This window comes from Homo sapiens, chromosome 3 (genome assembly GCF_000001405.40).
Source record: "Homo sapiens chromosome 3, GRCh38.p14 Primary Assembly".
In the NCBI taxonomy this organism is placed as follows: Eukaryota; Metazoa; Chordata; class Mammalia; order Primates; family Hominidae; genus Homo; species Homo sapiens.
In genome coordinates this window covers 58,154,316-58,182,183 of record NC_000003.12, presented here as the reverse complement: position 1 = coordinate 58,182,183, position 27,868 = coordinate 58,154,316, and the positions used below count along the sequence as shown (strand labels likewise).

Genomic DNA, 27,868 nt, shown 5'->3' with positions numbered 1-27,868 from the left:
CCCTCCCCCTCCCCTTCCTCCTCCTCCCCTTCTTTTTCTTCCTCTTCTTCTTTTTCTTATTCCTCTTCCTCTTCCTCTTCTTCTTCTTCCTCTCTTTCTCCTTCTCCTTCTTTTCTTCTTCCTTTTTTGATACAAGGTCTTGCTCTGTTGCCCAAGGTGGAGTGCAGTGGCACAATCTTTGCTCACTGCAGCCTCAAACTCTTGGGCTGAAGCAATTCTCCCACCTCAGCCTCCGAAGTAGCTGGAACTACAGTTGCACACGACCATGCCTGGTTAATTTTTAAATTTTTTTGTAGAGATGGGGTCTCACTATGTTTCTCAGGCTGGTCTCAAACTCCTGGACTCAAGTGATTATTTTGCCTTGGCCTCCCAAAGCACTGGGATTACAGGCATGAGCCATCATACCTGGCCATCTCCTTCTTCTAACTTATCTTCTCCTTTAGCCTTGACCTCGAGGTATGGTCCATGGACCAGCAGCATCGGCACCATCTGGGAACTTGTTAGAAATGCAGAAGTTCCCCCATCACCGCCCACTCCCTGCCCCAGTCAGAACCTGCATTTTACCAAGACCCCAGCTGATTCCTGTGCATAGGAAAGATGGAAAAGGGCTGCTCTGTAGTAGTGTGGACCACTGCCTGACACCGCATCATTATCTGTTTGTTGTCTACCTTTGGTGAGGGCAGGGATCATGTCTGTCTTGTTCTCTGTTGTATGCCCAGGGACAAAAAGTGTAAGTGTCTGACACATACCAGGAGCTCAATAAACACTTGTTAAATGATTGACAGACTGAATGAATGAATGAGCCAGAAATCAAACCCAAGCCTCCTAATTAAACTGATTCACAATTCTGTGCTTGTTTGTTCAGTGACTCATTTCCAGGTAGAGCTGGGATTCAGTAACTCCAGATCTCCTCTCCATTCTGAATGATGGAATCACACTTGGTTCCTACCTCACAGGGGGTTTGTGAGGACAGTTCCTATTCCAAGTGCTTTCCCACTTGATTTCCCCAAAACTCCATGACACAGGAAGGCACATACTAGGTTATTCCCATTTTTCAGATGTGAAAATTGAGGCCCAGAGAAGTTGAGGCTCTTGCCTGAGATCATACAACTCAGAAGTGGTAGAACCAGGATTTGAACTCATACCTCCTGATTGCAAATCAAGTTCTCATCCCTAGTCCATGTTCATTCATTTGTTCATTCATTCCACAGTCAAGTACCAGCCCCAGGCTGGGAGCTGGGAGGGCATGAATAAAGTTAACTAAGAAGTCTTGGAACCCAAAGGGCTCCCCAGGCCAGATGGATATATAAGGAATGGTGATTCCGTGTGCCCAGTGCTTCTGTGGACTCAAAAACCTGCAGAAGCATGAAGGTGGGCTCAACTAATCTGCTTGGAGGCATCTCAGAAGACTTCCCAGAGGAGGTGATGTGTGAAATTTCATCAGGGTGGGGCAGCAGGAGGAGCATCCCAAGTGGAGAGACCAGAGCATGAAAAGGCCTGGAAGTGTGAAGGTGCCTAAGCACATCCCCAAGGTCTATGTGCTCAGAGGAAGGTGATCCAGGTCCATGAGCCGGGGTGAGGGGTGGTGAAGGATGAGGCTGGGGAGGGAGGCCAGGCCTGCCTGCCAGAGGCCTGGAATGGCAAGATGGTGGTGGCCCTTACCCACGTGCCAGCTGTACTCCTAGGATGACATGACTGGGTACTGGAACTTCTCCTCGGGCTTCAGCCGATGCCGTGCCTGGAGGTCCAGGGCGTGGCCTTGGCCATCGTGGGAGATGCCTGGGAAGAGCAGCTGCAGGATTCTTGGGGAGACCTGCCTCATTTCTAAACTCTCCGGCCTGGTCTGACCTGCTGGCCCCTGAGTTGCTTTTCTGGCCTTCCAGACTCTGTCTCCCTTGGGTGGGGAGTCCTGGACACCCACTCCCTTGGACAGCTGGTTCTGGGCCCCCTTGGTCTCTGGCCATCCAACCTGTACCTCCTTGCTATCACGGGAGCTGGTGGCAGGCACTGGGCCCGCTACCAAGGCTGACCTGGATGGGGCCTGCTGGAGCTGCTTCCTGGGCACGGTCCCCTCCCTTAGGTACTTGTGGCCATCGTTGATCTTCCAGGCAACTTGGGTGGTGGCCTCCTTTTGGATGCATTCCTTCCAGCAGGCCTGGTTCTGGGAGGTCCACAGCTCCCCAGGGGCAGGGAGAGGTGGAGGAGGGAAGAATGGCTCTTCCCACAGCTCTGCGGCCTGTGTTTGGGCTCCCAGAGCCTCATCTCCAAGGATACATGCAGCCGATGAGGGCTGGGTTGCCAAGGCCCTGAAAGAGAGGAGAGGCTGGGCTGCCCTGGGGGACTTGGGGGGTCCCACAGGCAGAAGAACAGACCAGGCTGGAAAAGGGTGCAGAGCCTGGCCACAACCCACCCAAGGTGCCTGTCCTTCCCCCGAGGGACGGGCCCAGGCCTTTACCTTCACACCCACAGGGCTCTGGGGTGGCGCACGGGGTGCTGCAGCCTCTATTCCATTCAGCAAACTCTGATGCACACCTACTATGTGCCAGGCACCCAATGGGGGTCCAAAAAGAGGCCCAGTCTTCCCCGGCCTCAGGGAGCGCTGGACACGCAGCTGAGGAGGTTTCCAGGGCAACTCTAGGGTCCAGCTCCTCAGATACGCAGCTCTGTCCCTTGCTAGCGGAGTGGCCTCATCTGTACAGGAGGGTGAGAGTGGGAACTACCCTTAGTATTGGGAGAATGACACTAGACCAGCATATAAAACACTTGGACAGTGTCTGGCTGGGAGGAAGTGCTCCCTCAACATCAGCTGCAGTTTCACAAGCACCCGTGAGGTGCCAGGTGCTAAGCTGTGCTCTGTGTGCCTTAAACCATCCTCCCCATTAGTAGGCTTTCATGTCCTCCTTTCCAAGTGGGGCAATGGAGGCTTGGAAACCATGTGACTGCCCCAGGGCACTGAGGCTGGTGTGCCCGCTGGTGTGTACCTACTCCATGCCAGGCCCCGGGCTGGGGACTTTACTGTTACATCACTTAATCCTCACAGTGATTTGCAAACAGGCCGTCTTGCGTCACTCTCGCAAATGAGTAAACTGAGGAATCTCTGGGTTTAACCCCAAAACCCACGTCCTTGTGTTACAGACACAAAATTCTCCCAGGAAGTGGGATGGGCACTTGAGAGAGGCGCAGGCAGGGCGGGGCAGGGGAGGACCCACCTGACGCCTCGGCGGTACCACAAAGTCAGCCACCTGGATCCTCACACCTTCTGCCTCCCTGACCAGGGAGAAGGAGGCTGCCCACAGGGCCCTGGGGCCGCTTGCCTTCCACTTTTCATTCAACAAACGTCATTAGCTTCTGACCCTGTGCCAGGCACCAAGCCAGGCTCAAAATGTAGATGAGGAAAGACAGAGCCCAGGTACTTCCTGCTCTCAGGGTTTCACCCTCTAGAAGGGGAGGCAGACGCTTAGCCAGGTTGCAGTGAGTGGGTCAGGGAAGGCTTCCTGGAAGAGGTGCCGTTTGACTGAGACCTGAACTGTGAACATGAGTTAGCCAGGGGCAAAGCACAGGGGAAGAGTGTTGCAGCCTGGGACCCCCCAGTTAGAAAGGCAAGAAAGGCCACGGATGTATAGACTGCCCTCTGGGCCTCAGTCTTTCCACGTGTGAAATGGACTGTGAGGGGTTTGGGAAATTTGGGGAAGAAACTCAGGTTAAGTGGAATAGCTGGGTCTGAGATGCCTCCCCGGGGCACGCACAGTAGTGACTGATGAACCTTTCGCCTGCAGGCTGCCTGAGCAGGAGCTAAGCACCAGTTAGTCATTCTCTCCTGGCGGAGGGCCTACTGTGTGTCCCGGGCTGCAAGTGAACAACAGGACAAAACGCCCTGGCCTCGCGGAGCTGATCCTGCCCTGCCCTGTAACTCGGGTGTCTCCGCGGGCCGAGCCTGGCACACAGTAGGTGCCCGGGAAATGTGCTCAAGTAAATTATGCCTAGGCGCACTTCACATTGGCTCTGTTACTGGGGACAGTGGGGGTGAGGGGTGAAGGGAGGAAGTCAGGAGTTTCGGGGCTTGGGGGCGGCAGGACCCTGGAGTCAATCGGTTGCGGGGCGGAGTCTGCTGCTAGAACTCCAGACAGCCTCTCTGCCCCACCCCCGAAGCTTCTGCGCTGGAGCCCCCGGACTTACCAGCGCAGAAGAAGAGAGGTGGGTGGGTCCCCCTCCTCCTGGTCTGGGAGAGCCCGCGCCTTCCCCACCGCAGGGACTCCGCTCGCGGACGTATTTCGCGTGTCCAAGGCGACCCCTAGCGGTCACTGCGGCCACGACAACCCAGGCAGTCGTCCTCTCACCCCCGAGGCCCACAACTTCCCCGAGAGGGGAGCGGAGCTGGGACGGTGCAGAGAGGCGCTCCCAAAGGGCCGCCTTCCGCGGGCCCAAGGAGGCCAACGGCCCGCTAGGAGAGCCTCCTCTGGCTTCTGTTTTCTGTGTCTGGAGCCGTGCACAACTTCACGGCCCCGTTCCTAGACAGGTTTACCGAGTTTTAACACAGCCTTGACCATTAATGACTACCTGTGTGACCTTGGGGAAGTCACCAAACCTTTTTTTTTTTTTTTTTCTTTTTAGTCTTGCTCTGTCGCCCAGGCTGGAGTGCAATGGCGCGATCTCGGCTCACTGCAACTTCTGCCTGCCGGGTTCAAGCGATTCTCCTGTCTCAGCCTACCAAGTAGCTGGGACTACAGGCGCCCATCATCACGCCCGGCTAATTTTTGTACTTTTAGTAGAGGTGGTGTTTCACCATGTTGGGCAGGCTGGTCTTGAACTCCTGACCTCAAGTGATCCACCTGCCTCTGCCTCCCAAAATGCTGAGATTACAGGCGTGAGACACCGCGCCCGGCCAGTCACTAAACCTTTCTGAGCCTTGACAAACTCTCCTTTAAAAAATGTGATAGTAAGTCTCAGTGCATAGCGTTAGTGTTACTTACGATGATAATTTTCTTACTCTTAGTTTATTAACTTATTTAAGCTCCATCCATCTAACAATCCCTGGGATGGCGCAGTGTGGGAGCAGCCCTCAGGTCTGTCACTGGCCTAGGCCTATGCAAAGGGAAAATGGTGAAGCTCTGAAACCAGGGGACAAGAACAGGCTGGCATGTGGGCTGGAGCCCTCCTAGGTGCATGTGACTCACCCCTTTCTCCTCCCACCTTTCTGGCCACTCCCTGAGGCCACCAACATCCCACCTCAGACAGAGTTCTGTGGTTGGCCCACCCCACCCCACCCACTCCTACTGATACTGCCTAACCCTAATGCCCAGACCAAGACTCTGTCTGCCACACCACACTGCTTTCCTAGGACTCAGAACTTAATGTCTTAGTTCCTTTACACCAATAATAGTAATTTCACGAACACTTATCATGTACTGGACTCTGTGAAATGCCTTTTTTTTTTTTTTTTTTTGAGACAGTCTCGCTCTGTCACCCAGGCTGGAGTACAGTGGCGTGATCTTGGCTCACCACAACCTCCACCTCCTGGGTTCAAGCAACCCTTCTGCCTCAGCCTCCCCACTGGGATTACAGGCACATGCCATCACATCTGGCTAATTTTTGTATTTTTAGTAGAAACGGGGTTTTACCATGTTGGCCAGGCTGGTCTTGAACTCCTGACCTCAAGTGATCCACCCATCTTGGCCTCCCAAAGTGCTGGGATTGCAGGAGTGAGCCACCATGCCTGGCCTGAAATGCTCTTTACGTATATTTTGTCAGTGAGTTCTCAGAACACTCTATGGGGTGGGTCCTGTTACCCCATTTCATTGGAAAGAAAACTGAGGCACAGTTTTCTGTGAAGGATCAGTGACCTGCCTGCCAGAGGTCATGGCAGGGCCAGGATTTGAATCCCCAGCCCAACCTTAGAGCCACCACGCTTAATGGCTTCTCCATAAGCCTCCCTTTCCCTAGCTGGGGTGCCCCTTCCAGTCTGCCTTGGGGAGCCGAATCTCTGCAACACTCAGGCAGTCCCTCTCTCAACAGCTTTGGGTTGAGGAAAGTTTGCCCAGGCCAGTTGCGGGGTGGATGTGCTGAGCGGGAGGGAGGCAGGGGGAGATGCCTTTCTGGAGTTCATCTGATTTTAGAATGGAAGTTTCCCATTATTTCCGTATTTTACAGATGAGAGCAGTGAGGCACAGAGAAGGTGACCGCCTGAGGTATCTCGGTTGGTAAGCAGCAGCGCTGGGCTTGGAATCCGGTTTGAACCTGCAGCATGTGACCCGCTGTTCTCTGAATGCTGCTGCTACACGAGGTTATTCTGCTGCTATGGAGCAGGCTGCTTGTAGCTGGGCCTGAAGCTGGCATTTCCAGGACTTGGTGCTTCTGCTGAGGTTTTCTCCTCCTCTGAATACACCCTGCCGGGGTTCAGCACCAGCTTTGCCCTAAGCACGTCCACTTCCTAGAAAGGGAGGGCAGCCCCCGACAGGGAGAGGTGTTTTGGTATCTTGGCAAGGCAGTCAGGGCAGAGGGAGAAACATGGGCAACAAAAGGCTTGCAGATTCTTTCATCTTTGTACTTTGTCCCGGGGAGATAAGCGAGTCCAAAATACAAAACACCCTTGGATATGTGGATCCGTGCCACAAGTCAGGCTCGTAGATTCTCCATTTCCTGCCTGCTCTTGAGAGCTCTTGAGGAAGAGAGAAAAAGGGTGTGAGGGCTGTGGAGTAGGTCTCCCTAAATTCCATGCCCATGAGCCGGTCCCCGTGGGCCTGGGGGCTCAGACAAAAGCCTTATCACGAAGCAGAGAAGGATCTCTTTGTTTAGAAAGATTCCTCCCACCATGCGTTAGGCAGCATCCTTAGGACAAAGCCAGAAAAATAAACTGAATCCAGGCTTGCCTGAGCCCTTACTGCCCCCAATGTGACATTTTTACTTCCTCAAATTATGATTTACTACTGTGAAAGGGAAAAAATACCTGCATAAGATACTAATTTCTGGGAGTTTTCATTCGTGAAATATACAGATTATACAGCCTCTTCCCCCTCCAAGTTAATGGAGATTTGGAAAGACTCCATCTCTTTCCTTGACTCTACTTCCATAGGGCTGAGAACTGAGGCTAATGCGCACTTCAGTTAACAGCAACACTCCCCATTTTTAATATAAACTTGGCGGGTTGACAAGGATCAAGCACTCATTTTGCCTTTAACCTTTATTCTACTATTTGTTTTATTTTTTTTTAGATGGAATCTCACTCTGTTGCCTAGGCCAGATGGAGTGCAGTAGCACGATCTCAGCTCACTGCAGCTTCTGCCTCCCGGGTTCAAGCAACTCTCCTGCTTCAGCCTCCTGAGTAGTGAGATTACAGGCTGCACCACAACGCCCAGCTAATTTTTCTATCTTTAGTAGAGAGGGGGTTTCACCATGTTGGCCAGGCTGGTCTGGAACTGTTGACCTTAGGTGATCCGCCTGCCTCGGCCTCCCAAAGTGCTGGGATTACAGATATGAGCCACCGCATCCGGCCTATTCTGCTAGCCTATTCTGCTAATTTTTAAGTCTGTGCAACTTTCAAGGGAAATTAAATCCCGATATGCCCTACTCATTTTACACCAAAGTCATCAAAATGTGGCTTTCAACGCCCCTTTGAAGTCCTAAAACTAGACTTGGTCAAGAGGCCCAAGTGTTTTAAGTGCATCGGAAACAAAGAAACATGTTAATAAAATGTTTCCTTCTTGGCAGCATCCTGGTGAGTGCCTCCCTGGGTTGCAAAGGGAAATGTGATGAGGAAGAGGTGGGCTTGTGTGCTTTGAAGTGGGCAGGGCCTGGGAATCTCTACAGGGCAGTGCAGCTGCTGTCCGCTTCACCTCCATCGGCCCTGTCCATTCCTGGTAGGAAAGAGGCAAAGTCAGTAGTGAAAGGTGGAAAGAAAACACAAAAGTCGGAAAGGACCTGGCACCAGGCCTGTCCGGGGTCAAGTTTCAAAGTTTTCAAGGTATTTGCACAAACAGCTGGTTTCCATAGCAGCCAAGCCCAGGTGCAGGTAAGGGTTGCCCTGTGGTCCTAGCCATTGACTGATAAAGAGGTGCATCCCACCCTGGGATGTCTTTGATGTAACAGGAGGCAGTGGCTTCTAGTGGGGAAATTTACCCCAGGGTAACATCACCATCGCTCCCATGCAGGGGACAACCAAGTGTAGCCCCAGATGCCAACAAGCAGCCAGGGGGCGGCCTTCTGCCAGGAACATCACTTCCAGCAGGTGTTGGTCACAGACAGCAGTGGCTGAGACTCTGGCAGGGAATTGTTCCTTACAGCTCCCTGTGGGCTCTTATTTGATCCTCACGACCACCCAGAGAGGTGAGGCAAGGCGACTTCCCCAGGGCCACACAGCTAATGAACGGCAGAGCCAGCGTTGAAGCTCTGGGGTGCCTGACACCAAAGCCCATGCTGTTAATTTACAAATGCTGCCTCCCCCAACAGAAAGCCGCCAGGCTTCACAGTGGAGAGACCAATGGCTGCGCCCTGTGCTCCTCTGTGGGCAAACTAGCATGATACTGTGGCCCGGCCAGACCCCACCGGGCAGAGCCTGAATGGACTCTTTGGCAAGTGGGGGAACTGCCCGCCACTGCAGAATCCCGAAGCCCACGGACCTTCTCAGATAGGAGTCCAGGAAGCAGTGCTTCCTGGTGCAGGCCACAGATAAGGCTGCTCCCTCCGGGAGGAGAGGACCTTTCCTCCACTCTCTTCCTCCCTCCTCTCAGAGGCAAACAATTGATCCCAATTGACAGCCAGGTGTCAGAAGAATCCAGTCTCCCTTCCCTGCTTTTCTCTCCACCCCCAACCCCCATCTGGAGGGCTGGGGGCCCAGCCGTGATTTCCCATCACCGTGGCACCTGCCGGGGCCTATCTGGGGACTCCTGTTTCCACAGCGGTATCACCAGGGGGTAGAGCTAGCACCCTGGGGTCAAGAAGGCAGGGGCCTAGGGTCTTCCCCCAAGTGAGCTTTGCATCTGCAAACATGTCATTGCAGCACCTGAGGTGGTAGTGCCATCTGTAAAGCGGTATCACTGCTGTGGGGTGGGGAGGAGGCGGAGACAGAGGAGGAGGAGGTGGGGGCGGAGGAGGGGTGCTAGGTACCTCGTAAGCATTCAGCAATCAAAAGCTCTTCTAGAAAAAGGAGAAACAGGCCAGTCGCAGTGGTTGACGCCTGTAATACAGCACTTTGGAAGACCAAGGCAGGGCGGATCACTTGAGGTCAGGAGTTCAAGACCAGCCTGGCCAACACGGCGAAACCACATCTCTACTAAAAAGACAAAAATTAGCCAGGCATGGTGGTGCACGCCTGTAGTCCCAGCTACTTGGGAAGCTGAGGCAGAAGAATCACTTGAACCTGGGAGGCGGAGGCTGCAGTGAGCAGAGATCCTGCCACTGCACTCCAGCCTGGGCAACAGAGTGAGACTCTGTCTCAAAAAAGGAAAATTAAAAAAAAAAAAAAAAGAGAAACAGAGGCAGCAGCAACAATAAGCACAGCAGGGTGACAGGTGACAGCTTGTTTACCAGCCCCACCCCACCCCCACAAAAGGAGCCCAGGTTCATTGTCAAAACAAGTTGCTAGTTTTGTGTCCCTTAAGGGGTTGGGAGAGCTGATCTGGGGCTCCAACGATGTGCCTGTGTGTGTGTGTGTGTGTGTGTGTGTGTGTGTGTGTGTGTTACACTGTCTTGCTCTGTTGCCCAGGCTAGAGTGCAGGGTTGCAAACACAGCTCACTGCAACCTTGGCCTCTCAGGCTCAAGCAATCCTCCTGCCTCCGCCTCCTGAGTAGCTGGGACTGCAGGCATGCATCACCATGCTGGCTAATTTTTTAATTTTTTGTAGAGGCTGGGTCTTGCTGTTACCCAGGCTGAGGGTGTTGAACTCCTAGGATTAAACAATTTATTCAGAAGCGACATCATCCAAGAACACCAAGGCAACTTTACGGAGCAAATGTTTTATTTAATAAGTTATAAGATACAATTTACAGTCGGCGTTTGATTCCAGTTTGGCTTCCGTGTCCCAGCTTACAACACCCGTGGTCCTTTCACATCAGGCTCCGGGCTGTTCCACTTTCTGTAGGGTGGGCTTTTACCCCCAACACTCGCCCCAGATACTACACCTGCCACAAGAGTGGCCACTTCCTCAGGACTAAGCAGCAAAACCTAAAGGTCTGCCTGCCCAGACCACACTACACATTTGGGCTCAGGCAACGTCCCTGACACTTTAACCTCATTCCAAAGCCAGCTCAGGTCTGCAGGAAGGCAGGCAAAATTCCCTACACCTCATTTCTGGATTTCTGCACCACACAGCTCTCACTGTTTCTGCCAATGGTGAAAAGACCACCAATAAGCTGCTGCCCTTCTCTCCCCCAACCATTCCCAACTTTCAGGCCAAAGACCCGCAGGAGTTTCATTCTGTCCTGTCTGTACAGATCATTATTTTCCAGAAAAAGTGACCCATGAAGTTGGCTGGGGCGGGTGTGGAGTGTTATGTCATGGGACGGACCTTGGGATGAGGGCGTTAATCCATGGGCCCCTCTGAGATCACTTTAAACATTTTGGTAAGACTGCCCAGGCTGATGAAGGGCTGGAGCGTGTGTTAAAAACAAGGGCTAGTGTTGGTTAAAAGGGATCTTTGGCAAGTGGGAAACTGCTCGCCACTGCAGAATTTCTTCAGACCAAGGAAGGGACTGAAACGGACTTGGAAAACTAAAGCAAAACCATGACTGCCGGGATGGTCTCGTGTGGTGATTCTGCAAGAAATAATCACCAGAGCGAGGGGACAGGTACTTGAGAGACATGTGGGCCTGGCTGCCACTCTGCCCTCTGAGTTTCTGTAGGGTGCCCGGCTGCCACTCTGCCCTCTGAGAAGTGTAAGAAGGCCACAGAGCATGGGGGTGTTGGCGATGAGGAGCGGTAAAGCAGTGCTAGTGATCTAATAGCCAAATACATTAACACGGACACTGGAAGAGATTAAGCGGATTTTAAGTCATCTCCTTTGCCAAATGACAACCAAACTAGGTGTCCCCTTTTTCTCTGCCCATCTTCCCCTAGCCTTGTTTCATAAATGCTGAAGAGTGAACCAGCAGCTCAGGCTAGCCAGTTTTGTTTTTTTGAAATGTCAGTCTCATTGTGTTCCTGGTCTGTCTGCTGCAGTGGCTGGTCTGTTCCACCAAGAGTTCTGGTTTGCACCTAGTGTACTCAGGATCTTCTCAGCCCCCTGAACAAGCTTGCATTTCTTAAGATTCTCCAATATGTCCCTCAAGAGTCCAGTCTAGGACTTATTTCTGAAGGCATTTTACAACAGCAATATTTTAGGGATGGGGTTTCAGCCCCACAAACAGGCTGGAGGGCTTTGTATAAAATGAATTACAAACAAGCAACAAAAGCAACCACAAGAACTCTCTCCAGGATTTGAGAAAACTGTTTTAAGGCACTGTGACATGAAAAGGGCTGCCAGGGATGTGTTCCTCCCCCCACTTCACAGCCAGCACATAATCGCCCCTCTCCTTGACGACGTATGTGACGTTGTATTGCTGGTTGCCTACATGCTTCATGGAGACCTCCTCGCAGGGGGTGGTGGGCCCATGGACCCCGATCAGCAGCATGTTGGAGCCTAGGAGGCAAAAGGTGGTTACTCCACCCGGATGCATCAGGACAGGCACAGGAAGAAGAGGAAATATGAGAGCCAAAGGTAAGGTGCTTCCACGATAATGCTGGGGCCCCTAAGAGGTGGGAGAGCGTGGCAATTACAAGCAGAGGCTCATAGAGCCTGACGGTGTGGGTTCGAATCCCTGCCCTGCCACTTGCTACCTGGGTGACCTTGGACTGGAATCTCACCTCTCCCTAGCTCAGCTTCCCCATCTGTAAACAGGGAATGAGAACAGCACATACCTCACGAACTAGTTGTGAGGTTTAAGAGTTATGGGTGTCAAAACCTAGCACACAGTAAGGGCTATTCTAAGTGTTGGCTATGAGAATCTTCTTGTTTACTCTCACAAGCACCTTAAGGAAGGTACTTCCGAGAAGAGGAAACTGACTTTTGGAAAGAGATTTAATAACTTTCCAAGGTCACATGGCTAAATAAGTTTTAGAACAAACGAATGAATGAATGAAGTGGCGGTACTAGGTTTCCAGCCCAGGTGTACTGGATGCCAGAACCCAGGCAACCGACCCTTGAAACCCAAATAAATACCCAAGTTCAAAAGGCAAAAGAGAAGGAAATCATTTAAAAATATTAAGTGCAGGAGAACAGGGTCATGACGATGGTTACTTGCAAACGGCTGGCCTACATGGGGGTGGGCACTGCAGGAGACCTCAGCAGGGAAGGCCAGTGTACCCAGGGTGCCCAGCCTGCCCCTGCCCCACCCCACCCTTGAAAAGGCCCAGACACCTACCAGCTTTGCTGCAGTCCACCAGGAAGGAACTCTTCTGGCCCACAAAGGCCTTTGAGAGCCCTGCCCCCTTAGAGGTCACCTTGCTGGCGTCCGAGGATGCCTTGGGAATGGCGCTATAGCAGGTCTCTGTAGACGACCTGGTCACTGACTCCACCAGGATGGATGAGGTCTCGTTGGCTGAGCCAGGGCTAACTAGACGCTGGCCTAAGATACAGGAGGGAGGGGGACAGGCATGAATGGCCAGATCAAGAGGGGTCTCTCAGCCAGAGGACAGGCGAGTACCCTACACAGTAACCCCAGGAGAGCCCGCGCACCCCAACACAAAAGCCACCACACCTGTATCTCACACCCATAATGTCTTCTAAACCCCTAGGATCCCACCCCCATACAACTAGGATCTGGCTTTCTGGGCAAATGGATGAGTCTGGCCTTGGCTGACAAGGCCAAGGACCCTCCCAATCCCCCCACCCCCTACCCACCAAAGATGTGCCTGTGGAATTCACATCTTTCTATTGACATAAAATAGTCTATGTATAAGCAGTGTAAAAGTTTGGGATGACATATAATGAAATATCAAAAAATGATTCTGTGGATGAGAAAGGATGATTTTTCTATCTGAATTTTCTAATTTTCCTGCGATGAACCTACATTCTTTATGTAACAGTGAATCATGACGTGTGGAAGGGATTTACTACAGTGTTTATGGTGGTTACCTTGGGTGGTGGCTGTGAAGTGGTTTTCATAGTTTGGTATTTTTTCCAGTGTTTTGGAGGAGACACATTTTTATAAGTATAGGAAAACTTTTTGATTATTTTTCAAGTGAAAATTAGAAATCAGGGGATTTTTCAGACCCTGATCTAAACAAATACGTAAGATTTCAATATGTATTCTTTCCTGTTAGAGATAGAAAACCACCTAACATCCTAACATGCTTTCTCAACTTCTGCACGGCTCCACTCTGTGGACTTTTGTAAGTTTCAAACACTGCCCTCTGACATCTCATACTATTTACTGACATTCAAAGTTCAAAGTAGCTTTAACACATCTAAAACCATCCATAGTTTCCACTATGATTGATCTGACACAACCAGCTCCCCAGGAAGGGAGAGTAACTCCGAAGGTGGTTGTTCGTTACCTGTCACCTTGGCCTTGAAGGGACTGCCCACGATGTGGTTGGGCCCACCGTATTTGACGCTGATCAGGTAGTTACCAGGAGCCATGGGGGTGTACATGACTTTGTACCCTTCAGGTGTTTCCTGGCAATCCATTTTAACCTTGGATGGGCCTTCGATGGTGACGGATAATGTCCCTGGACCTGCTCGGGTGGTGTTAATAAAGAATTCCGACTGGATACCTGGGAGAAAGGAATAGAAAATGCTGTGTTGATGACTTGGAGGGCTTTCCTGGGAGCACTGAGGCCGTGGTGAGGGACACACATAGATCCCCTTACAGAGGGCTCACCCTGGTGGCATGGGAACCCACTGGCACTAGCTCTGAACTTCTGGCAGAGAGAACCTCAGGCCCTGCGGGGTGGGGGCTCCCTTTTCTAGGCCAAGGCAGGAGGAGCATGGCTGACATTTCGCCCACAAGCACCAACAGCCTGGACACCCTGTTCTCTCCTCTGGGCATGAGCCATTGTGGCTGAGGGCAAGAAGCCTGAGTCACACTGTGAGCCTGAAGTGCTGCTTCAGCCACCAGAGTCCAGCTCTCCCTCCAGGGGTGTGGGGGAGGCGTGGGCCCCTCTGACTGTCCTTTCTTCTCCGGGTAGACTTGGAGAAGCCAGGGAGGCCAAGCATCTCCTCCCTTCCTCCTCAGCCCTCACCCCAGGCACTGTGCTGCAGACCGGGTGCAGCCACTGTGACCTGCCAGCCCACCCACTTTGCCGTGAATTCCAGCAACAAGCACAGGAACAGAACAGCAGCTCCCGCTGACGGGGCATGCGTACCCCACTCCGGCTCCAGGTCCTGTGCACAGCACCATTTACGCATGTGGTATGGAATCCTTTCCGTGATTCCTGCTTCACAAATGACTCTGCGGCTCAGGGAGGGGGCCAGTCACGCTACACAACCAGAAAGTGGTAGAGCCGGGTTTGAACCATGTCTGCATGGCTCTGGTGCCAGGCTCATCTCTTGACCCCTGGATGGGCAGTGGAGCTGCCTCAGATCCCCTAACTGCAGCCCTGAGACAACTTAGCTGGCCCAGGGAGAGCCTCCTTCAGTCATCAGGTCTGGCGCATGCCTGCTACAGTGCCCTCTATGGGGCATGCCTGGCATAGCATCCCCATGCAGGGCTATGCTTCTGCCAGAGCCCTAGACACTGCCCCAGCTGGGAAATATTTTGGTTTAATTATAGCTCCTAGTCCAGAGAAAGAATTATTGTTCTGGATATCAATAAAAACAAAAGAGCTGCTATCGTGCAACTCTCAAACACAACCCAGCTGTTCCTGGAAGCTCTTGAGGCTCCTGCCCCAAGGTCCACCCCCAACACTATCTCAACCTCATCATGGTATCTAATCTGTGCAGCCAAGAAGCCCCTCAAGCAGCAGCTCTGAGGCCTGGGGCTACGTAGGGAAGAAGCGGGAGGTGAGCAACAAGGAGACAGTGTGTCCATCCAGGAAGCAGCTGTAAGGTGATGATAAGGAAAGATATTTTATTGATTGATTGATTGAGATAGAGTCTCGCTCTGTTGCCCAGGCTGGAGTGCAGTACCATGATCTTGGCTTATTGCAACCTCCGCCTCCCAGGTTCAAGCGATTCTCCTGCTTCAGCTTCCTGATTAGCTGGGATTACAGGCACTCGCCACCATGCCCAGCTAATTTTTGTATTTCTTTAGTAGAGATGGGGTCTCACCATGTTGGCCAGGCTGGTCTTGAGCTCCTGACCTCAAGTGATCTGCCCACCTTGGTCTCCCAAAGTGCTAGGATTACAGGCATGAGCCAACGCACCCGGCCTTATTACTAATATTTTTTTTTTTAGATAAAGTCTTCCTCTGTTGCCCAGGCTGGAGTACGGTGGCATGATCACAGCTCACCACAGCGTCAATCTTCCAGGCTCAAGCCATCCTCCTGCCTCAGCCTCCAAAGTAGCTGGGACTTCAGGCATGCACCACCACGCCTGGCTAATTTTTAAATTTTTTTGTAGAGATGGGGTTTTGCTGTGTTGCCTGGGCTGGTCTCAAACTCCTAGGCTCAAGTGATCCTCCCACCTCCACCTCCCAAAGTGCTGGGATTACAGGTGTGAGCCACTGTGCCAGGCCAAAAAGATATTTTTAAAGTGAAGTTGAAATGATGTGGCTGCAGGGGAAAGTTCCACCATTTTTTAACAAGCTGTTTCATTCCTAAGTTCGTCTTTAAAAATTTTTTTTTTTGGTAGAGATGGAGTTTTACTATGTCACCCAGGCTGGTCTCAAACTCTTGGCCTCAAACAATCTTTCTGCCTTGGCCTTCCAAAGTGCTTTGATTACAGGCATGAGCCACCGCACCCATTTGGCCCTAATGCAATATTTTGACCAACCAAAAATCAGTTCATCTTGACTGTGAGGGCCCAAAAGGGCAGGGAAGACGAGGTGGGAAAAGAGAAAGCAGGGGTTATGGGACAAGAGCTACTACTTGGCTGTTACCTCCTCTACAGCTCCAAACAAGCCTATTAGGTGGGTCCTGTTATTAATCCTGTTTTACAGGAAAGGAAGCAGAGGCACAGTGAAGTCAGATAATTCATCTGGAGTCACACAGCTGGGGACCAGCAGAACTGGGATTTAAACATAAAGTCTGTCCAACTTGGAGCTAAAGCACTTACCTGAGAGAAGATGGAAGGAAAAAAATCCACAAGCAGAAGTCTCTCACCACTGCCTCTAGCTATAACCTGTATCTGACACCACAAAACATCTCTGGGCGTGGCGGTCTTCCCCCACCCCCTCAAATATGTCCAGCTCAGTTCCTGTGAGTTTAATGCATGTTAAACGCAGCACTGCTTGTTCTTCAAGGCAGTTAAGGAAGGAGGCCCTTCTGGTATACCCCGAGCACACTGGGGTTCCTGGACCATTTCATTAGGAAAATTGCTCAGCGGCTCCAAAGAATCTGGAGCTCCCTGGTCTATCTCCCAGCCTCTCAAGCCGCCTCCAGCAGGGTCCCGCCCCAAATTCTCCACATTCCCCTACTCCAAAATCTACAGAATGGACCATTTAAAGCTTGAGCCAAGAGATACAGCAAACTCACCCATTAAAAACAGAGGGAGGTTTGCTTTGTTCAGAAGGTCAGGATACTGGGCGCTCTGGCGGCCAAGCACAGATACCTTTTCATTCCATGCACACTGCAGCTGTGTAATCTCAGAATGGATATTTAGGGAAAGGCTTGGGAGCAGGAGGGCTGGAAAAACAAGGCGCCTTCCCTGTGACAAGAGCAATATTTACACAGGGTTTGAAGCAGGCGGTTCTGTACCTCTCCCCTCCTGGCTAGGAGCTTCCCTGCAAGAGCAACTCCTTCTCTCAGCAGCGTCCAGCACTTGCAGAGCACAGCCTGAAACCCAAGCTCCCAAAAAGGTGTGCGAACAGCCAAAAGGAAATGGGAGAGGGCCCAGGCACAGCGGCATGAGCCAGCAGGAGGGTGAGATGCTTCCTGGCCAGTGTGGGAGACCCCAGCAGCTGCTGTGAGGCCTGGCCTGAAGCCTGCCACGCGCTCCAAGTGCCGAGAGGACCCCACCTGGGCCCTCAAAGGTGAGTACCTTGTCAGGGCCCAAGTGCCAGCACTGCTGCCTGGAAAGTACTCCTGAGTGGCTGGGAGGACAGGGGTCCTGGTTTAGGACATCCCCAAAGTGGGCTGGGGATGCAGTCACTGCCTCTGGGTGAGCCAGCCACTTAGAGAGGGGGCCAAGCTCGGGGGTTCAGCGCATAGGCTCTGAGGTCACGGATGTAGACTGATTCCTGGTTCTGCCTCCTCCCAGCTGACTGCTTTTTGGGGGAGTGTTGTTTGGGGAGTGACTCAACCTCTGCATCTCACTTTCCACATCTGTAAAATGGACATCACTTACGGTAAAATGATACCATGCCTTTCACAAAAGGCAAGCCGCAGGCCCAGAGTTCAGCGTGGAGCCGGGCTGGATTTGCCTGGGGAGTCTGGCAGCACTCACACCACCCCTGTGGGTGGCTTTGCTGAGGCCACTGCTTTGGCCAGAGTCCCGGGCAGCCTGCCAGCCCACCAGTCACTCCTGCACCCGGAGAGGGCCCCTTGGCCACACAGGTCACTTGCTCCTAGGGCTGGATGCCAGGCAACCATGCAGCCACTCACCCCTCACCCCTGGGAGGCAAGTCTGCTCCATCCCACTCTCCTTATGCGGGGTGGGGGTACACACACAAGAGACTCAAGAAACCAGGACATACTGCTTTCCCAAGAGGGTCCAAAGTAACACCAAATGCAAACATGCCCCAGTGAGTCCACACTGCGCACTTCCCCTGCAAAGACTAAGGACTGACTCTCCACCCTGGCAGCCTCCATAACAGTGACGCACTCACTGCGCACCACCCGATGCCACCTGTTCAAATAACTGCGATTCACAGCAGGAATTCTCACTACAGCCAGGAAAAGGAGGGGAAGATCTGTTCTGACATGGAAAGATCTTTAAGATGTCAAAGCAAAAACACAAGCTATACCACACAGTGGATACAGTAAGATTCTTTCTGTAAGACAAAAGCAAAACTCTGTGTCTGCTTGTCTAATGAACCAATTAGCTAACCAACCCAGCAACCAAGAATGAAGACAGACAATGAGATGACAGACAGGGTGAAGGTCCTCCCTTCCCAGAGCCGTTTGCTTCCAGACCCAGGTGGGGGAGGAGGAGAGAAGATGGAGTGAGTCTCACTTTATTTACTTCTTCACTGCCTGTATCTTTCATAATCAAACATGTCCCATCTGTGGCAAAGAATAAAAGTAAATTGTAACGGGTCTAAAAAGCTTCAGAATTCTTTGAACATTTCAGTCTTTTCTCCTCCTCCATTAAGATCTGAGAGTAAAAAGAGGAGGAGATAGGCTGGGACAGGTCTTATTGCTGCTTCAGTGCATTTCTGGGAGCCTGGTACCATGAAAGAACAGACGGGTAGGAGCCCACTTGGACGCATCATGAATTCTGTGCAGGCAAAGAAACCCTCAAAATTAATGACACTGTGCTGTGTTCCCTGACTATCAGCATCCTGTTCTGAAAGTCAAGAAACTTGGCAGAGGAAGGAATCTGAATCACAACTAACAGTAATGAGGTGTGATAACACGGCCATCGAGCTCTCACTCTGGATTTATCGTGGGTCAAACCGCAACTCCCAAAACAGCTTTGGACAGCAAGCGCCTCCGAAGTGTGCATGACCCCAGTTTCCACGGGGAGTACGTGTAAAAAGCTTTCATGGGGCTTGAGGATTTCCATCTGGCTTGGTCCCTGGAGCTGGTTCAGTTAAGGCTTCAAGAAGCAGAAGAGTGGGTTACCTGTGGTGCCCCCTTCGAGTCCCGTGCCATAGGCGGACACCAGGGCAGGGTTCCCCGCTTGTCCAGGCTCCCCAACGCGCACTTTGAAGGGGCTTCCAACCACGTGGCTCCCATTGAACTTGACATCGATGGTGTGGACACCATTCTCATGAGGGATGAAGCGAACAGCATACTTATCTAGGAGAATGAGCAAAGGCACAGGGTGAAATCAAGCAAATGGACACCCCTGAGTTCAGTGAGGATAAAGGATGGAGGCCAAGCTGAGATGGCCCATTTAAAATCAACAGTTCTACAGGGAGCCTGGCACTCAGCATCCTGGATTTCAGAACCAGACAGACCCCCTGGGTATCCCTCATCAGCCCCAAGGGAAACGCATCCACATTGCAAATCCTATAAACACAGGACAAGACTCTGACCCCTGCCTCAGAAGAACACTTCCTTTCTTTAGAAAACCTCACTTCTTCAGTGTGAAATTCTGTGAATGCTGTTACTAATCCTGTCACGAGATGAATCTCATTTCACCAAAATTAAATTATGTTTTTCCACTAAAATGATGATACAAGTTGAAGACACAGCACTCTGAAATTGGAAGACCTCACCACTTAAGGCTCCGCAGCGGCTTACTCAGCTGAACTCCAGGTTACTACTCTTTACTTTGTTCACCCATTGGGGAGTTCAGTTTGTTTTTAAACATTGGGAGATGGCCATTCTAACTACTGTTCAATGTCTCTGTTTTGGGAAGGCATAACAAGAAATAAAAAGGAATATATATGAAGGGAAAAAAGAAAACCTCACTTCTTCTATGTTTCTCTATTTGGCCACTTGAAGGGGAAAAAAAACGGTTCCAACTGGCATTAATGCTCCTTAATTAAGCTCAAAGCTAGGAACTGCCCCCACAGGGCAGGTTTGTGGCTGTGCGTTTGGGTCACAGCATGTAGCAAGGTAATCTGTTAACTGAAGTGGGCACCTAGAACATCTACCCATTGTGCACCACCTGACTGCCGCTTCCTCCTTGAAGCCCTCCTGCCCAGGGTGCAGAGCCTGTTCTCCTCCTACCTCTCCAGGTAGTCTCTCGGTCTCTCCCTGGTGCCTAGTACTCTTCATCCCTCTCAGAATTTGTGTTCCCCAAAGCTCTTCTCCCTGCCTCTGGACGTCTCCACAGAGGTGCACCTCCATGAAGCTGTGCACCCTACGTCCTTTGGCACTGAACATCCTCCAACAGTCCCCATCCGCCTCCCTTAAAGCCAATGTGTTGTAGGGGAAGCTGGCTCCACCGCCATGTCCAGGTGTGGTCCCTGAGTGGATCAGGGAAAAATCCTTCTTCACTAAGCCTTAGTCAATGAGCACATGGCATTTCTTTAGCCACAGGAAATGACTCAGCAGTGGGCATGTGTCCAGGTCAGTGAGAGGGGAAGGCAGACGTGCTGGAGACTTCTGGGAAAGGAGGCTCTCGACTTCTAAGAATCCTGAGAGGGTGTCTCTCTTAATTGATGTGGCGTGAAGGTGGGACATCTGGTGCTGCTGCAGCCATCCTGCCACCAAGAGGAAGGCCATCCTGCCACCAAGAGGAAGGCCAGAACCAGGCCCACAAAGCAGAACAGCAGAAATATTTGACGCCTTGCAGGGCGCAGCTCAATGACCAAATCAAATTGCTGAAACCTGTCTTGGATGTCTTGAACTTTCTAGTTATGCAACTTACTGGGCCCCTTTATTGTGTGAGTTGGCTTGAGCTGGGTATTCTGTAATTTGCAATCAATAGTAACTGTGTCATGCTAATGATCTCATACATCTGTAGGGGTTCAAATCCTGTCTGGGGTGGAGTTAGCTTCCCCTGAAGCACATTGGCTTTAAGAGAAGAGGGAGGGTACCCAGTGAGGGACTGTTGGGGCTGAGGCCACCAAACCTCACAGTGATCTAGTAAACATCTCCATTTGGGTATTGGGGATCCTTCAAAACCCCTCAAAGTAAAATATTAAACCCTTTAAGGCCCTGACCAATCCTCACCCACCCTCTGCCTGGCTGGCCCTAGTTCTGATAACTGCACTGTCATCTTCCGACCCAATCACTAAGCTACGTGGAACATTTTGGAATGGATTCTCTCTCTCACTCTCTATAGCCACCATAGATCTCTGGCCTCAAGTCCCTCCTCTCCATTTCCAGTGCCACTGCTTCCTCAAATGGACCACTCTGGGAGCACCAGCTTGCCACTTGGCCTTTCAGACTAAAACCAGGATCTGACCCCATCCTTTACACTTGTTCCTCCTGAGGCTCCCCACTGCCTTTCTGCCTACTAGGAAACATAGATCTAAATGTTCACACAGAGCCTACATTCCTTTTTCTTTCTTTTTGAGACAGGGTCTTGCTGTGTTACCCAGGCTGGAGTGCAATGGCATGATCACAGCTCACAGCAGTCTCGACCTCCTGGACATAAGCAATCCTCCCACCTCATCCCCCACAAGTAGACTACAGGTGTGTGCCACCATGCCTGGCTAATTTTTTTTTTACTTTTTTTTGTAGAGAAGGGGTCTCACTATGTTACCCAGGTTGGTCCCAAACTCCTGGGCTCAACTGATCCTCCCAAAGTGCTGAGATTACAGGTGTGAGCCACCATGCCTGGTCAGAGCCTAGATTTCCAACTACACTATACAAATACAGCCAGGCACACAACAAATGCCCTATAAGGCAGTAATCATAGGTCTCCTCCTCATACATCAAGGCCCACATCAAATGTCACCTCCTCTGAGAAGCCCTCCTGAACTCACCGAGGCAGAAACTATTTCTCTCTCCTGCTCTGACCATCTTTACCATTTGCTTCACAGTTCTCCTGTGGTACTAGTGATCATTTGGGGTCATCATCTGCTTTTTGGCCAGGCCTTCACTAAACTTTGAGCAACTCTTTGAGCCTTATACCTTCCTTCAAGTTTCTGACACTTAATAAATTTATTATGTTCACCGGTAACACTGTCTCTTTAAAGTTGATTAAATCAGAGAATTCCATATACCAAGGCACCAAGCAAGAAAAATCTTAGGACATTAGGGCCTAGAGACCCAGATTTTCTTTTTTAAATTTACAGAACATTAACCTACTTTTCCTTTAGAGTAAAGTGAGATCAAAATATGCTTACTCGTGCCATAAGGTCAATGAATAAAAATCTGTAAGATGTTGTTACAATATGAAAGAAAAATTATGATGAATGTCATGCAAAAGGAATCTGAAAAACTAACAGAAAACAAAGAAGCATTTGTTTTTGTGTTGTGTGTATGTGTTTTTTTGTTTTTTTGTTTTTTTTCTGGAGACAGGGTCTCACTCTGTCACCCAGGCTGGAGTTCAGTGGCACAATCATAGCTCACTGCATCATAGCTCACTGCAGCCTTGACCTCTCAGGTTAAGGCACTGTACCCAGCCCAGCATTTGTTTAAAAAAGAAAGAAAGAATGAGCATTCTCTCCTAGCATAAAGGGTCTCCCTATCCCTGGCACATGTTTAAACCCTAATTTATAAACAATATCTGGCAACAGCAAAGGGAATTCAGAGGCTCACTGGCAGTAATGAAACTGATCAGCCCTCCCTTGGGACACACATTTACAGGAACATTCTGCTGGAAAGTGCTGGTGCTGGGACCCCCCAGCAGGCCTCCTGCTCACCTGGCTCCAGCTCAGACACGTGGCACTCCTCCACGGCTCCAGAGGGGCTGTGCACCTTTGCATCAATCTTGCCTTTTGCGCCATTCAACCTTATAGCAAAGGATGCTGGCTGGTTAACTTTTAATCCCGATTCCTGAGAATTTAATACATCAGACAGGTTATGGCCCTCGGCGTTCCTGCTCAGTGGCACACACTGACCCTACCCAAAACTGTGGGTGACAGTTCTCATGCAAATAGGTTTTTCTATATAACATATGACAACAAAGGGCAGGTGAGCCATTCTGCATTTTTAATGTAAGATAGCAGAGACGTGCATCTGCATGGTCTCTTATGCAAACCATCTTGATTCAGCCTAGAAGAGATGATTTCTGGGCTTGGATACTTGAGACATCCTGGTCAAAAGGACTATCATCTCAGCATCCAAAATAATGCCCATGCAGGCCAGAAAACCCAGTATGTTCCAGGTCAAAAAAGTGTCCTCTTTTAAGAGGATACTGCAGCTAACAAAGTCATGCACTCACGAACACGAACACAGTTTTATGTTATGCTGTTTGTTATCTCAAGGGCAGACCTGGAGGAACATATTATAAAGGGCTACGTGTGCAAAGAAGGCAGTACTCCATAGCAGTTAAGAATCAGCTGGATCTGGATTTCCTACCATTTCCTAGCTATATATCTAGGGTGCCAAACCTCTTCGAGTCTCAGTTTCCTCATCTGTAAAATGGGCATAATAACGATCTATCTCGAGGGCTACTATAAAGATCAAATGAAGCTGTGCATGCAAAACATTTATCACAGGGCCTAGCCCATACACAGAGAGGCTCGAAAACGTCAGCTTATTATTAAATATTAATATGCATTTAGAGGTTGTATCCCCACAAGAAGCCATAGAAAGACATAGCTTTTGCTCTTCCCTGGATCAGTTTCACTCCCCATACTTTGTCTTGGAAACTATCTCCTCTTCTGGGAGGAGGGGATTAGAAGTTCAGATGGTTAAGAACAAAGCTGAGCAACAACATTTGAGATATTTTAAGACTAGCCAATCCTGAACAGCAGCATTTTACAAGTCAGTAATTTTGATTTAGACTTGGTCGGACAGCCACTCCTCAGGCAATAACTCTGAAGCAGCATGGCTCACACTTAATGTGTAAGCAAACCATCTGGGGATCTTATTAAAATACAGATTCTTTTCCAGTGGGTCTGGGACTGAAGTTCTCAGGTGATGCTGAGGTCCAAGAACTGGCCCAAGAACCACATCTTCATGGCAAGGTCCTAAAGCTGCACTGGCTAATTTGGTAGTCACCAGCCACGAGGCCATATATACATATATTTCAACTTAATGCACTTAAATAAAACTAAACATCCAGCTCCTTGGTTCCTCTGGCCACATTTCAGATGTTCAATAGTCACATATGGTTAGTGGCTATCATGCTGCATAGCATAGACTTGAAGCATTTTGATCACTGCAGAACCTACTATTGGACTGTGCTGCCCTAGGGGATATAGACTGAGGAGGGAGGACAGAACACAGAATTAGAGGGTCTTTGATCACCAGATCACTCCCATCCCACCCCCACCCCAAGTGCCAGCCTACTCCAATTTCCTAAAAAGTCTCAAAAGCAAGACAAAACGATACATGCCTCTCTTTGCTAACCAGCACCAGATGTTGCTTGCGTGGGCCTCCGCAAAATCTCTGATCAATAATTTACATATCACTCGGCATCAAATGACCCGGGAAGAACAGGGGGCGATGCTGATGAACACACTTCTCCTGCGGCAGCAGCTGGTTACAAAAGCTTAAGAAACAGCCTGCTGTGCACTTACTGAAACATTTATGACCCAGCTATGACGAGAGCACTCTACAGAAGTTTCCTGGAGGGGATTTTTCCAAACCAGCTCCTTTTAGACAGAATCATTTACATTACCTGAATCCGCTTGCCGCTAAATCCTCAAGAGGGAGATAAATGCCTCGGCAGATTTGAAAGAAATCTTCGAGATGCATGAGGGCAGCTCCTGCCCTCAATAAGTGCTGGGTTTATCTCCCTCCGTAGGTTTTAGTTAAGTTGGCCACAAAAGACACTTCTGTTAAGAAGCCTTTAAATGAAACACAAGAAAAACATCTACACCACAGTAACCAGTTAGTACCCTTGGTATTCTCCGGATGAGGCCGCTTCAATGTGTGGACTGAGTCTGGTTTGGGTTCTGTTTACGTCTCTAAATGAAAGACTAATGTTTGGAACAACTGGAGGTATCCCAGTTCCCCTCAGAGTAAGATTAGAATCTCAAATGTAAACCAAGTGTATGGAACTAAAGCCAATGATATCACCAATCTTAGACATCAGATTGGATTTTAATGAATCCAATATTTTCAAGAACTGGGGGCAGCTCAAGGCTATTTAGAAACTCTTACCCAGAAATCATACTTTGGGATTTCGATGTTATTTCACAACTTAATTGCTACTCCCAGTTCAGACACCTAATTATTTTTCAGTGTCCTGGGCAAAAACCCAGAGGCATCCCCGATGGTTCTTAGTTTGGCTGAAGGTGCTAGTACAACCTTGAATTAAGTGACCTGTTTAGGACGAGGAAAAATGTTGCATCTCCTGGTATCCTAATGGGATGGACTATGCAACCGTGTGCCACAACATCAGGTGGGGGTTAGAGAGGTTGCCGTTAAGGGCACAGGTTCTGGCCAGGCACAGTGGCTCACGTCTGTAATCCCAGCACTTTGGGAGGTTGAGTGGGGTGGATCACCTCAGGTCAGGAGTTTGAGACCAGCCTGGCCAACATGGTGCAACCCCATCTCTACGAAAAATCCAAAAATTAGCCGGGTGTGATGGCGCGTGCCTGGAGTCTCAGCTACTCAGGAGGCTGAGGCAGAAGAATCACTTGAACCTGGGAGGCAGAGGTTTCAGTGAGCCGAGATCATGCCACTGCACTCCAGCCTGGGTGACAGAGCGAGACTCTGCCTCAACAACAACAACAAACAAACAAAAATACAGGTTCTGGAGCCACACTGTGCCTGTTCTGCCTCATACTAGCTGGTTCCCAGTGGACAAAACCTCCTTGTATCTCTGTTTTTCCATCATTAAAATGGGGTCAAGAGAACCTACTTGTCAGGCTATTGCAAGGATTTACTGAGGTAACACTGATAAAGCTCTTAATATAGTTCCCTGCACACTTATTAATGAATCACAGTAAGTTGCAACTGACTTTCTTGAAGAAAGGCAGCCAACAACAGCAGGCTAAAACATCACTGCACTGTTATTTTTGTGTTGGTTTTGTTTTGAAAGCCCTTGTTATCCCTTAACCAGTTATGAACAGGCTTCCTTTGTTTCTCTTAAATAAACCTTTAAAAACAAACGTGTCCCCAAACATTAAGGTGTGTTGTTGACTGTGGCTCTGTTTTTGCTCGCCCCAAGTGTCATCCGCCCTAAGTGTATGGGGAGTTGACTCTGCCACAGGAAAGCTCCCCAGTGACTGGGTGACATCTGTGGTCAAAATGTGAAAAGGGGCCTCAGCACCTAAGGGGACATTGAAGCAGCCTCAGGAGTCCAGGGGTCTCACTGGTGGCCTGCGGCCAAGGAGATGGATGCTTCCTTGCATCTCACCTGAAGGCTCATAACAGTGAGGCGGCGGGCGTCGTCGGAGGGTGCGATGACCGGCACCAGGTAGGGGCTTTCCGGGATGTGCTCATCATTGAACTTGATGGACACCTCGTAGTTACCTATGAGGACAGGAAAGTCCCATCATTTCAGAGACTCTGGACCCAGAGTGGACTCTTGCTTCTCACCAAGGGCTAAAATGCCTTCAGAGAGACCCAGCCCTCCTCAATGGCCACAGCTGATTGGTTGAGTGGGAGTCGCCTGGCTGAGGCTGGGCCGATATGATTTCCTTAGTGGGGTAAGGCCAGGGACTCTTAACCGGGGCTCACAGGGTCCCCAAATGGCCTGTATTGAATTCAGCAGATCCATGGACTTCAATGGGGAAAAAATTACGTTTTAATTTTCACCATTCTCTAACTGAAATTTACCATTTCCTTTCTTCAGAAATGTTGACAAGAAATCACAGCACATTATAAGTACATATGACTTACATCACCATTAAAAATCATATATTTTTATGTCATTTTACAGTTATTTTGACGTATCATTTTCACTTATTACTTTGTCACTTTGATGACAGTTAATATACTGTCACCAAATCTTATGATTTAATGTATTAACGAAGATATGCATGTTTCTATGTTGCATATTTGTTCTTGTAAGATTTTGGTAACTGTACTATAATATCAATGATTTCTTTTATAATGTGACATATTTCATTTTATGTGCTTTAAAACATTATCCCAAGAACAGTCCCCATAGGCTTCGCCAGATGGCAAGAGTCAATGGCACACAAAAGGTTAAGAGCTCCTGCTAGAGGGAGCTCAGATGCCAAGGCCACTCTTCTGGGGCAGCCAGCCAGGGTAGCCATGGGTGGGCAGACAGAGGCTGGTTGGTGGAAAGAATGGAGCAATTGAATGAAAGCAAGAAGCAGAGAGGCTAATGGAGAAAGGCAAAAGGCAACCAGAACAAGCGTTCCCACCCTTAAGAGGTCTGGCCATGTATCTTGCAACTGGATTTCTAGGAGGCTGTCCCATGTGCCCATACACATAGATTCCTCATTGACTTCAGCAAACTTGATGGATTTCTGTTCCTTGCAACCTAATCATGTTCAAACAAGGAAAATGTCCTCTTGTGAACCCTGAATACATACCAGGCTCTTGGGCAATATAAGATACACCGCACGACCCATTTTTATGGTCATCGAATGTAATCTCGGCCTTACTGGGGCCCTCAACAGCGATGGAGAGGCCTCCAGCGCCTGCTTCCCGGGTCCAAATGCTGAACTCAGCTGAGAGCAAAGAGAAACCTGGTTAGTGACTGAGCCCCACAGAGCCCCTGTCCCTCTTCCATCCTTGTTCAAACCTGCAGTGCTAGGTTTCGTCTGTTGCTAGCCCTTTCCTCTTTCTCCAACCCCAAGCAGAACCCAAGCAAGGTCCAAGGTCCATTGCTGAAGTTTCCTAAGCATCACTAGTGATAACTAAATTCACAGGACATCTGGAGTCCTCTGAAGACATGTCTTTTTTTTTTTTTTTTTGAGACGGAGTCTTGCTCTGCTGCCCAGGCTGGAGTGCAGTGGTGCAATCTCAGCTCACTGCAAGCTCCATCTCCTGTGTTCAAGCAATTCTCCTGTCTCAGCCTCCCGAGTAGCTGAGACTACAGGCTCATGCCGCCATGCCCAGCTAATTTCTTTTATATTTTAGTAAAGATGGGGTTTCACCGTGTTGCCCAGGCTGGTCTTGAACTCCTGAGCTCAGGCAGTCTGC

The 27,868-nt window shown here is 50.0% G+C and overlaps 2 protein-coding genes and 1 long non-coding RNA gene across 6 annotated transcripts in view, besides 6 other annotated features; 1 reads left to right on the top strand and 2 right to left on the bottom strand.

The window, feature by feature from the left end:
- Positions 1 to 343: 343 nt before the first annotated feature.
- Positions 344 to 10,407, bottom strand: LOC124909485 (uncharacterized). Its single transcript, XM_047449435.1, has 6 exons — positions 10,311 to 10,407; positions 10,023 to 10,113; positions 8,534 to 8,645; positions 4,338 to 4,476; positions 4,177 to 4,257; positions 344 to 2,691 (listed from the first exon to the last, which is right to left on the bottom strand). Exons 1-6 carry the CDS (start codon positions 10,405 to 10,407, stop codon positions 1,682 to 1,684), a joined length of 1,530 nt encoding a protein of 509 aa, XP_047305391.1. The 3' UTR covers positions 344 to 1,681.
- Positions 3,491 to 3,540: an enhancer, noted in NCBI's record as "active region_20000". NCBI's record gives its function as "activates an Ori minimal core promoter by ATAC-STARR-seq in GM12878 lymphoblastoid cells {active_cell/tissue: GM12878}" and the evidence as "EXISTENCE:reporter gene assay evidence [ECO:0000049][PMID:35858748]".
- Positions 9,933 to 27,868, bottom strand: part of FLNB (filamin B) — a 163,830-nt gene continuing 145,894 nt past the window's right edge. For all 4 annotated transcript variants that reach the window (NM_001164317.2, NM_001457.4, NM_001164318.2 and 1 more), the window contains 7 exons: positions 27,256 to 27,393; positions 26,109 to 26,224; positions 22,498 to 22,630; positions 18,854 to 19,030; positions 13,526 to 13,744; positions 12,391 to 12,594; positions 9,933 to 11,609 (listed from right to left, as the gene is read on the bottom strand). In NM_001164317.2, coding sequence (NP_001157789.1) covers positions 11,422 to 11,609; positions 12,391 to 12,594; positions 13,526 to 13,744; positions 18,854 to 19,030; positions 22,498 to 22,630; positions 26,109 to 26,224; positions 27,256 to 27,393 — 1,175 coding nt within the window. In that variant the 3' untranslated portion in view covers positions 9,933 to 11,421. The remainder of the gene's footprint in view (positions 11,610 to 12,390; positions 12,595 to 13,525; positions 13,745 to 18,853; positions 19,031 to 22,497; positions 22,631 to 26,108; positions 26,225 to 27,255; positions 27,394 to 27,868) is intronic.
- FLNB-AS1 (FLNB antisense RNA 1) lies at positions 11,549 to 19,637 on the top strand. Its single transcript, NR_135534.1, has 2 exons — positions 11,549 to 11,687; positions 16,069 to 19,637. It is a non-coding gene; the product is annotated as an FLNB antisense RNA 1 (long non-coding RNA).
- Positions 16,308 to 16,602: a silencer, noted in NCBI's record as "tiled region #1271; K562 Repressive non-DNase unmatched - State 7:EnhWF, and HepG2 Repressive non-DNase unmatched - State 17:Gen3'". NCBI's record gives its function as "represses a minimal TATA promoter and a strong SV40 promoter by Sharpr-MPRA in K562 cells, with weaker repression in HepG2 cells {active_cell/tissue: HepG2 | K562}" and the evidence as "EXISTENCE:reporter gene assay evidence [ECO:0000049][PMID:27701403]".
- Positions 17,308 to 18,121: an enhancer, noted in NCBI's record as "H3K27ac-H3K4me1 hESC enhancer chr3:58149790-58150603 (GRCh37/hg19 assembly coordinates)". NCBI's record gives its function as "activates a minimal SCP1, AML or CMV promoter by ChIP-STARR-seq in naive H9 embryonic stem cells {active_cell/tissue: H9 hESC(naive)}" and the evidence as "EXISTENCE:reporter gene assay evidence [ECO:0000049][PMID:30033119]".
- Positions 19,431 to 20,630: an enhancer, noted in NCBI's record as "MED14-independent group 3 enhancer chr3:58147281-58148480 (GRCh37/hg19 assembly coordinates)". NCBI's record gives its function as "activates an origin of replication core promoter dependent on BRD2, BRD4, P300/CBP and CDK7 cofactors, and independent of MED14, by STARR-seq in HCT116 cells {active_cell/tissue: HCT116}" and the evidence as "EXISTENCE:reporter gene assay evidence [ECO:0000049][PMID:35650434]".
- Positions 20,128 to 20,422: an enhancer, noted in NCBI's record as "tiled region #12305; HepG2 Activating DNase unmatched - State 17:Gen3', and K562 Activating DNase matched - State 5:Enh". NCBI's record gives its function as "activates a minimal TATA promoter and a strong SV40 promoter by Sharpr-MPRA in HepG2 and K562 cells {active_cell/tissue: HepG2 | K562}" and the evidence as "EXISTENCE:reporter gene assay evidence [ECO:0000049][PMID:27701403]".
- Positions 20,358 to 20,555: a silencer, noted in NCBI's record as "fragment chr3:58147356-58147553 (GRCh37/hg19 assembly coordinates)". NCBI's record gives its function as "represses an EF-1alpha promoter that drives an FKBP-Casp9 reporter gene in an ReSE screen in K562 erythroleukemia cells {active_cell/tissue: K562}" and the evidence as "EXISTENCE:reporter gene assay evidence [ECO:0000049][PMID:32094911]".